Genomic DNA, 11,413 nt, shown 5'->3' on the forward strand with positions numbered 1-11,413 from the left:
AGAAAGCTCCTTTGACTTTGCTCTTTTGGGAACCACAGTGGCAGGGGCAAGTCCAGCACATCGCCTTGTGTCCTTCCCTGGCCATCAACAACACCGTCCATAGACCTTTCTGTGGTGATGGGAATGTTCTACATCTACACTTCCCAATATAGTGTTGCCACTGGTCTCTGGCAGCAATTTAGTGTTGAAATATGGCCAGTGAGACTGAGCAGCTGAGATTTTTATTTTATTTAATATTTTAAATTTAAATTTGAATTCTAATATCCATGCACGACTAGTGGCTATCTGTATTAGTTCTTTCTTGTGCTGCTAATAAAGAAATACCTGAGCCTGGGTAATTTATAAAAGAAAGAAGTTTAACTGACTTACAGTTCAGCATGGCTGGGGAAGCCTCAGGAAACTTACAATCCTGGTGGAAGAGGAAGCAAACACATCCTTTTCACATGGCGGCAGCAAGGAGAAGAATGAGTGCCCAGTAAAGGGGAAAGCCCTTTATAAAACCATTAGATCTTGTGAGAACTAACTCACTATCACGAGAATAGGATGGGAGAAACCACCCCTATGATGCAATTATCTCTACCTGGTCCCTCCTATGACACTTGGGGATTATGAGAACTACAATTCAAGATGAGATTTGAGTGGGGACACAGCCAAACCATATTACTATCATTTCGGACGATGGAGGTCTACATGCCTCAGCTACTCTGAGATGTGTCTCCACTGAACCCTCTCTTATTTCTCCAGACCATCAATGTCTCTGATCTACACTCCTTCAATAGAACAAATTACACCACTGGTCCCAAACTGTTGACTACTGTGCCCAGTGTCAGTCCATATGCCATTGTTGTACAGACCAGAAAAGGGGCTCTTCCTAAAGCTTTCTTCTCTCAAGTATTAGAAAGTGACATACCGACATGCAAATTCACCAGGGCACAGATATAACAGGCACCCCATAAGCATGGGCAATGTGTGTGGCCTGCCCAACTCCAACTGCACGTACTTGTCCTGTTCTCCATGTGGTTTCCAATCCTTGGATGTGTACACAGCATACAGACTGCTGACAGCATGCAGACTGCTGGCACCATGAGAACACTCACCATCTTCCCCCAACACCTCACGGTAACAAGCAGAGGTCCAAACAAACCACGGAGTCCTGACAAGAAGCTGACTGCTCTGACAATCTTCTTCCTGACACAGAAGTCCATTTCGTAGTAGTGTCATTTCTGTGGGGTCTTCCTGAAGAATCATCATCCATCATTTCCTGTAGGATATCCCTGTGTGCCTTCAGATATAGGGAATCAGTTACAAAGCCCCACTTCAGCCTCTGCTTTGTGGAACGGAGATCCTGGAGTGCTGTGACCAGCTTAGGCATTGTGTTCATGATGGAGGCAGAGGTCAAAGGGTGCAAGCCAAAGTACACAGGACTCTGCAGGTCTAGGCATGGGGTAACTAACATGCCACCACTTCTGCTGTGGGTTTTGGCCAAAGCAAGTCACATGGGGTGAAGAAGAACACCCTAACTTTATGAGAGGAACTCCAAAGTCACAGAGCAGAGTGCATGGACACAGGAGATGGAAAGGAGCGAAGAACTGGACCATCGTTGCAATCCATGGCTCACAAATTCTAAAGCAATGTATACTGAGAGGTGAACACTGGATGTCTTGGCAGCAAGAACGTGAATATGGGTGATTGTTATTATCTTTGCTTTATCTATATTTTATCATTTCATTTTACAGTGTCAAATTATAGAATAGGTATAATTTAATCTTAATAAGGGAAATAGACTCATGAAAACAATCTGGAAAATATAGAAAAGTAGAGGGGGAAACCCACCTAAACTGTGTTTTTCACCAAGATGGTTACTAGCATTGTGAGTGAGACACTTCTTTCTTGCTGAAGACTGTCTCGTGCATTGCAAGATGTTTAAAATCTTTGGTTCCTGGACATCCAATGCCAGTAATGGCTTCTTGTCATTTTTGCAACCAACTTCACCACCACCGCCACCCACATTTCTAAATCACCTCCAGAGGCCTCCCTCATTGAGAACACAGAAAACCACATTTATCTTTTTGATGTGGTTACTCTTTGGCTTTTACGTGCATGACATTCATTCATTCACTCATTTTAAAAATAATCGTATGGTTTTACTTATTTATTGTTCATTGTTTTCCATTGATATGGTACACCACATGGATAATGTTGAATATAGATTTTTAAATTCCTATTTAAATTAATAATGTACAGATGATTCTGCATGTCACCTAAATGGCCGAAAGTCTTCTGATCTTCTCACGCCATCTGGCCTTTAACAAGAAAACATTTTTAAATAGGTACCTAATTGGCTGTAAAAAGTCCATTGCATTCCCCAAGACTTTTCGTAGCTTTCTAAGGTGAGGGAGGGGTGCCTCCCTTCTTGTTGCTATGGCTTTAGTCACTCCCTTCCATCTCTCCCCATCATCCCAGACACCTCTACTATCTGTTTCCTACAGCCCTGCCCTCTTTCCCCACCACTTTTCGTGGACACCTCTCTTCTCATTTATTTATCCAGGAATTTCTTACTCAAGTCATTAGTAGGTAATAGACTGTTACTACACATTTGGTGATAATGGAAGATCACTGCTGCATGGAGCTGGAAATAACCCCAAAGTGTGTATCAGGAATCACAGCTGCTCAAGTTCAATGGCCACTATGTGTTTTAGGGCACACTTCAGGTTTGCAGGGAGTACTTACTCGTAACTTTCTTGCCTGCAAGTTTTGAGTCAATTTAGACACGCTCCAGTGAGGGAGGAAGATATCGGCTAAACTGTTGGAGAACATAGCTTGAATCTGCAGCCAAAGTCAGCATTCTGATGCGTTCCCCTCAAGCTGACAACCTGCGAGTTCTTACCCAGCCTACTGCATGGAGGATTGTGACCTATTTTTCAGGAGAGGCTGGTTATAGAGATCACATAAGGGCAGTTTCTTTAACACATTAATCCCACCTGATAGAAAAATACTGACCAGCGAGAGTCCAACTCTTCCTATTCCCTATCAGATGGATCTCTCTCCTTTCTGAAGGAGAGAGGAGGACAAAGATCCCCTGAATTTCTGGTGAGTCCAGCGCTCTTTTTTGTCTCCATCCCACCGTTAAACTGCCTTCTCCTTTATTATTTTCATCTCTTCTCCAACATCCAGTGAACAATGCCTCCCTCTTCTTCCTCTTTCTGGCCACAGAAAAATAAAAATATTTATTGCTTTGAAAGTCACATCCAATCTGATCCTGAGTTACTGTTATACCTTAAAGGAATCCTTGTCAAAGATGTTGAGGAAATTCTTCCATATTTCATTAGTAAAAGAAATTTATAATTTATACACACAAACACACACACACAAACACAGACGTAATGTTAACCAAAAAACTCTATTGTGTTTCCTTACTCTTGTACATAAAGACACCTTTTTAAAAAAATGCATTGAAGATGAAAAACTTATAAAAATGACTAGTGAAAAATAAACCCAAAGATTCAGGGTATGAGAAAGGCCCAAGTGCACTACTGATACTATTCAATAAGTGAGCCTTTGTATAAGAGATGAATTAAACTAACAGACTAAGGACAAAAACCACTCTGTTCCAACTTCCCAAAAATAATAGAAAAATATTTTAAAACAAAATTAATAGAGAATAGGTACATATGGACAGTGCAAAACAAGAAAATGTGGATCAGCAGACCAGAACATGTGAGGAATTCCTAGAAGACAGAAACCAGATGGGATTAGAGTGACAAGAGTAGATGAATCTATAGCCAAAAATCATAAGCAGCGTGCAGGATGAATCCCCACATGGCCTTGGCTCACCCAGCTCTTCCCCCTTTCTCACTTGTAGTTCTCAAAAATAACTATAGAAAGTGCTGGGAATGTAACATCCTGAGATAACGAGGAACTGGCTAGAACAGAGCGCGGGCTGTTCCTGTTCGTCCTAGAACACGATGTCCTTCAGCGCGTTAGCCCAGAAACTCAATTGTGCCTGGGTATAAAACCCAGGGCAGAGTAGCCTTTTGGGGTCCGTCAGTTCCAGGGCAATGTAATGTGAGACATTGAGATAAGACTCCATCTGCCCCAGGAGCAGATTTCCTGAGCCCTAGGGGACTGGCTCGCCTTGAATTCCAGACACGGATTTTCCCTTGCTGGCTATCTGTAGGTAATAAAGTTGCTTTAATTAATTTGCTATGTTAGTCTTCTGTCTCCCTAGACTTGTGCAAGTGATAGAATAACCAGTGACTAGTGAATCTACTAGAGAAACTGGGGCTTACACGGTGAATCCTGCTTCACACACCCCACAGTTACTCTGAAGCTAAAAACAAATGCAAAGAAATCCTAAAGCCCAGGTTAGAAGACTGCAATTAGAGCAGCTTCCAGGAAATTCTCTCCTGTCCCCTGTCCCACCCTCTATGCAACTCACAACTGAACGTCTATCAGCTCAGTCCATGAAATGCCCTCCAAGGAAAGTAAACCTTCTGGTCGGGGCTTAGTAGAAGGGGATCACCAGAAGTAGTAGAGGGAGGCTGAGGAAATGCCAAGTGTTTATAATATTATACAGTTCCACAATTAGTAATGTAGTTATCAATTTTTATATGTTTGTTGTTCATTGGGATTTCTCTATAAAGTTTCTGTTCAAATACGTTGTTCCTTTTTTATTAGGTTATCTTTTTAAATTTCATTTTTGTTTTTATATTTTTTGAGATGGGGTCTCACTACAGTGCCAGGCTGGAGTGCAGTGATGAGAATATGGCTCACTGTAGCCATGACCTCCCAAACCAGGCACCTCAGCCTCCTGAGTAGCTGGGACTACAGGCACACACCACCAAGCTCAGCTAATTGTTGTATTTTTAGTGGAGATGGGGTTTCACCATGTTGCCTAGGCTGAACTTGAACTCCTGGGGAGAAGTGATCCACCTGCCTCAGCCACCCAAAGTGCTGGGATTACAGATGTGAGTGACAATGAGTATGCCTATGTGTCTTTTTTCTATATATATTTGAAATAATTCTGTGCATATTCTGGGTAAAGATCATTTGCTAATTTGTGTTGCAAATGTGGCTTCTCATTTCATAATGTCTCTTCTAAGTTCTGTATGGTATGTTTAATTTCCTAATTTTAATGTGGTAACATTTAATCAATTTCTCTTCTTTATCATTAGTATATTTTGTATCTGTTTAAGAAATATTTTTCTGCACCAAAACCTTAACATATGCTCCTATGTTATTTTTTGAAAGCTTCGTAGTTTTGCTTTTCATAGTTAGCTCTATAATCCAGATACAGTTTATTTTGTCAGTGGTGTGAGGTAGGGATTCAATTTTAATTCTGTTTCCATATAAATATCTTTGAGGTGGGAGGATCATTTGGGGCCAGGAGTTTGATTCCAGCCTGGGCAACTTTTTGAGACCCTCATCTCTACAAAAAATTTAAAAATGAGCTAGGTTTGGTGGCGCATGCCTGTGGTCTCAGCCACTCATGAGGCTGAGGTGGGAGAATCACTTGAGCCCAGGAGGTTGAGGCTGCAGTGAGCCATGATCATGCTACTCACTCCAGCCTGGGACACAGTGAGATCCTGTCTCAAATAAATCAATAAATAATATATAAGTTTATAAAAATATGAATATCTTTATTGTCTAGGGACATTTATTTAAAAATCTACTTTATCCCATTGCTCTTCAGTAATATGTTTATTTATGACTTTTCCATTCTATTGTGTTGATCTTCAAGATACCAAAGACTTATTATAGAACTAGTGTGATATTGGCTACAGATAGATAAATAAATAAGTCCTCTTACCACTTTCTTCTCCTTCGAGAGTGTCTTGGGGAAAAACACTTGGAAAATATTGAGTCTTTCCCACCCATATTTTTCAATCTTTATTATTTCGTTTAAAGTATGATTTAGCAAATAGCAAACAGGTGGCCTTTTTTTTTTTTTTTTTTTTTCTTTGAGATGGAGTCTTGCTCTGTCACCCAGGCTGGAGTGCAGTGGCACGATCTCAGCTCACTGCAAGCTCCGCCTCCTGGGTTCACGCCATTCTCCTGCCTCAGCCTCCTGAGTAGCTGGGACTACAGGCACCCACCACCATGCCCAGCTAATTTTTTGTATTCTTAGTAGAGACAGGATTTCACTGTGTTAGCCAGGATGGTCTTGATCTCCTGACCTTGTGATCTGCCTGCCTCAGTCTCCGAAAGTGCTTGGATTACAGGCATGAACCACCGTGCCTGGCCACAGATGGCTATTGTTTTTTAACCCTGAGAGTTGCTGGCCTTCATTTACTCCAGCAATTGCTGGAATATTCATTTAGGGCATTAGTCCATTTTCATTTAGGGCAGGCACTAATACACATGATTTCAGCTCCTCCATCTAACTCTGTGTTAATTGCTGCTTGCATGCTGTGGCATCCCCTTTCCTTATGTTGCTTGTTTGATCATGTTTCTGTTCATTTCACTTTTGCCTTTCCTATTAAGAAGTTCTACAGTACTTTCTTTTACATTCATAGCGAATTTCCTTCTTGTTCCTTTATTCATACACATATTACTTAACTATTATTTTATAGTAAATTAGCAATTTTTCCCCATCAAGATGCACTTCCATTACAATGTCTTAATTTCCTCCTACCTCACAATTCCTTAATGAGAGCTGTAGAACACTTTGATGTCCCCCAACCCTTCCCATGCTCTATGCCTTCTTATTGCTTCTTACATGATCTTTGATATTATTTTTTCCTTCCCTCCTCTCTACCTATTGCTGTATGGTAGAATTTATTGAACTAGTTTACCTATTAAAATTTCTGTTAATTTGTGTGCCTTTCCCTTTGTGTATTTCTAAATATAATTAAACTTCCATATATGTGCATGTGTGTGTTGAATATTTTATGTTTCATATATTAGTCAGGTTCACTGATCACTACTCTTTTTATTCATTTTTATTTTTTATTTTTGAGATGGACTCTTGCTCTTCTGCACTCGGCTGGAGTACAATTACATGATCATGGCTCACTGCAGCCTCTACCTCCCAGGCTAAAGTAATCCTTCCATCTCAGCCTCCGAGTAGCTAGGACTACTGGCATGTGCCACCACACACATATAATTTTTTTTTGTATTTTTGTAGAAACAGGATCTTGCCATGATGCCCATGCTGGCCTTGAATTCCTGGGCTATCCACTACTCTTTCTTCTTTCTTTCATCTTGTCCATCTTAATTTTTTCATTAAACTCTTTTTTATAGGTATTCTCCTCAGATGAGATACTTAGGTGATGTACTTTCTAAATTCTTGAGTACATTTCTTTCACACAATTATATTTATGATCTATTCAGTGGGCATAGAAGTTTCAGTTTGTAGATCTTTTCTCTTACATATCTGTAGACACAGTTCCACTGTCTTCTAGCATCCAGTATTGCAGATGAAAAGTCTAATGTCTCTAATTTGTGCTTTCTACTTCAAAGCATGAATACATATTTATTTTTCTGTAAAATCCAAGAATCTTATCACATAAGTCTAGATATATGTTTGTGGGTATATGTGTTTTCTCATCAATTTAGTCCAATCTGTTTAAGTACTTTAAATGTGCAGATATTTCTCAGTTCAGGGAATTTACATATTCATTCTATTTTGTGTTTAATGAATGCCTCTTGTATATCTGCTTTTTCTTTTCCCATAACTTATTTCATTCATGTTAGACCTCCTAGATTTATCCACTAACCTTATTTTTTTCCACCGAGTTTATAATCTCTTTTTACTTTTTTCTCTGTTCTTTCAAATACCTCTTGATCTTGATCTGTGTTACTATTAATTCAATCTTAATAGTAACAAATTGCTTATTTAATTTATTTACTATTTTTTAGTTCAAAACTCATGTTTAAAGCCCTGAAAGTATTTTATACTGAAAATTAATTTGCTTAAATTCCACATTTAAAAAAAAATCAAGATATTCATCAATCTCACCCAGCAGTCTCTTTTACTGGGTTTGCATATTAATTATTCTGCTCAATCTTCTTCATTAAGGTTTCTGGGCATTTTTAAATGGGACATTATTATTATTTATGAGTTTATAGAGTTGACTTAGCTTGGGCTGTTGCAGGAATCCTGTGGATGATAAAAGACATGGTGAATGCTGGCCCTGAAAGCCTGGGGAGTCCAGGCAGCTGTCACCTGCCATTAAGGCACCTAGAGAGATCGCTAGCTCTCTGATGTCCTTAAACATATCCAGCCGTAAGTTCAGGGAGGTCACAGTTCACCAGCAGCTTACTCTTTGTCCTTTAAGAATGTCCATAGGCAAGCCCTCCCAGGACATTCCTGTCCTCCTCCGGAGCTCTGTTGCTACTGTTTGGTTGCTTGTCTAGCATCTATGCTTCCTGCCAGGTCTATGATATTCCAAATACTCACACCACCAAGCTGAATCCTATAGAACCCAGCAGCCCTGTGCTTTAGGAGAGGCCAGCAGCTTGGATTAGGAAGTGGGGGAGGGAAAAGAGCACTGGATTCACTGTGTCTACAGATTCGCCTTGACATCATTTGCCAGGGTGTTCCAAATCATCCTTCACTGCAGGTACGAATTCAGTGGGACAATGTCCAGGGATTTTGCACAAAAAGAATTTCGAATCCAGACATTTATATCCAACCAAGCAATTATTCCATTGAAAGGGAATAGTAAAGATGTTCTGATTTGATCTTTTTTATCTGAAAAATTGTTCAGACAATGTAGGAGAAAGTTTTCATGACTTTGGGTTAGGCAACAAGTTCTTAGATATGGAATCTTAACTATACTCCATAAAAAAACCAGAAAAATTGGACATGATCAAAATTAAAACTTTTACTCCAAGAAAGACACTACTGAGAGAGTGAAAATATAAGCTACAAAATGGAAGAAAATATTTAAAATCACATATCCCATAAATAACTTGTATATAGAATATATAAATAACTCTTAAAATTTGACAGTAAGATAAGTACTCAATCTTTCAAGTGAACAAAAATCTTAAAAAGGCACTTCACTGAAGAGAATATATGGATAACAAATAAGCACATAAATAGATGTTTGACATCATCATTCATGAGGAAAATGGCCACAGCCATACAATACTTCATATTTATTTGAACAGCTAATATATATAATATATACAACTTATATATGATGTCTACACAATATGTATTATATATTCAATATATACAATGTGTTCAATATATACATTATATCATATAATGTGTATATAATATATAATATATCATATAATGTACATATAATATATACAATATAATATTGTATATATACAGCAATCTATATTGTATGTCTATTATATATACATTGAATTATATACATTGTATTATACAAAATATTATATATAATACAATATAAAGTATTGTATATATTATATATTGTATATATAATATATAACATGTTATATATTATATACATTTTGTACTATACATTATAATGTATAATACATATTATATATGTTATAACATGTAATATAACATATATTATGTAATATATTATATAAATTATGTATCAGACAATATCAGAGAAAGTTCACCAGTTACACTAGAATGTTTGTACATTGCTATTGAGTATCCAAAATGATACAGCCACTCTGGAGATACATGACCCACCAATTTAACATCTCAACATTTACTGTAGAGAAATCAAACTTACATTTATGTAAAAACTTGTAAGCAAGTTTATAGCAACTGTATTCACAATCACCAAAAACTGGAAGCAAATCAAATGTTATTCAATTTGTAAATGAAAACACAAACCATGATACAGCCACACAGTGGAATACTATTCAGCAATATAAAGGAATCAATGTAAAAAGATTAATGGCTTTCAAAGGCATTATGCTGAGTGAAAGAAGCCAGTTTCAAAAGGCTGCGTACTATACAATTTTATTTATACGACAGTCACAAAAATTCAAAACTACAGTGATAGAGTTCAGTGGTTCCCAGGAATGAGGACTGAGAGACTGATGTGACTAGAAAGAAAAGCAACAAGGGAGATTGTTTTGTGTGTGATACTGTTCTGTACATGTATGGTAGTGATAGTTACAGAAATATATATATGTGTTAATTTTTTAAGAAATGAGCACACACACACAAAAAGTCAATTTTACTAAAAATTTGTGGTGGCTACATGAATCTATATCTATATATATATATGTTAACTTTCTTAGAAGTGTGCACACACAAAAAAGTCAATTTTGCTAAAACTGATGATGGCTACATGAATCTATATATGTGTCATTAATAATGCTTTTTATAAATGTCCACACAAAAAAGTCGAGTTTACTCAAAACTCATTTCAAAAAGAAAAAAGTAAAATAAAGGCATGGTGGATCAAACCTAAAGCTATGCCTTCTGACTACTTCTAGAAATGGGGAATTGATAACACAGAAGGAATACAATTAAAAATATAATATGTTTTCCAGAGCTGAGTTTTTAAAGTACTTTGTACAATAAATAAAAATATATCTACATTTAGACATACCATATCAGTATACTTAGGATAATAAAATGTCAAAACATTCAGAAAGTGAAATAAAACGTCCTTTACAAAGGAGCAAGCATTAGCCTGGCATCATGTATCTAATACTTTATACTGGGTGCAAACAAAAACAAAAACAGGGCAAGACTTTTAAAGTTCTGGGAGTGTGGTTAGGGAATCTGAGCCAAGTGAGAGAGAATAATAAAGATATTTTCAGGCTGCATGGACTCCAGAAACACCTCAAAGACACTTTTACTTTGGAAGTCATTTGATGACTGTAGCAACGTGGAGTAAACCAAGAAAGAAAGAGATGTGGACTCCAGATAACAGTGGATCCAAACTAAGAAATGGTGGATGTTCTATTTCAGGATCACTGCAACTCCCAAGCCCAGAGAGCACCCGGTTCAGACGCAGATGGAAAGATGGTGGCTGCAGAGGAAACGAAAATTGGAGGGTTATGTGGAATGACTGAGACACTGGAAAAACTGGGGAATATGCTCAAGACGACTAGTGAAGCTGGTTGCCAGGGTTTGTTTTGTTTTGCTTTTCAGAATTAATTGAAACTTGACTGTGGGTACATTCTTCCCTGTGTGAGTGGCTTAGGGGTCATGATGTTGGACTCCTGGTGAAAGAATTGCATCTTAATATTCTACTTTGTTCTGCTGTCAGCAACTTTTATATAATCATAATAATGGAAAGACATTGATCAGCCTTTGACTTGTAAAATCACCCCATAGACAAATCACGGAACGTATAACTTATTACAGTGCAAAATGTAAATGTGATGAATCTTGACAAAATAAAAGAGGTACATTTGAAAGAGGTTGGGAGGTGAAAATTGAAGAGGTTCAGAGTACTAATACCTTCATTTTACAAAGTTGGAATTAAGAATCTACAGTTGAGCTAATAAGAAATGA

At 37.7% G+C, this 11,413-nt stretch overlaps 1 long non-coding RNA gene across 1 annotated transcript; it reads left to right on the plus strand.

Moving 5' to 3' along the window:
• The first annotated feature begins 4,057 nt into the window (after nucleotides 1-4,057).
• On the plus strand, nucleotides 4,058-10,975 carry LOC105372355 (uncharacterized). The gene is made up of 2 exons (XR_935898.2): nucleotides 4,058-4,177; nucleotides 10,865-10,975. It is a non-coding gene; the product is annotated as an uncharacterized LOC105372355 (long non-coding RNA).
• The last annotated feature ends 438 nt before the right edge of the window (nucleotides 10,976-11,413 follow it).

Source organism: Homo sapiens, chromosome 19 (assembly GCF_000001405.40).
Source record: "Homo sapiens chromosome 19, GRCh38.p14 Primary Assembly".
NCBI classification, from domain to species: Eukaryota; Metazoa; Chordata; class Mammalia; order Primates; family Hominidae; genus Homo; species Homo sapiens.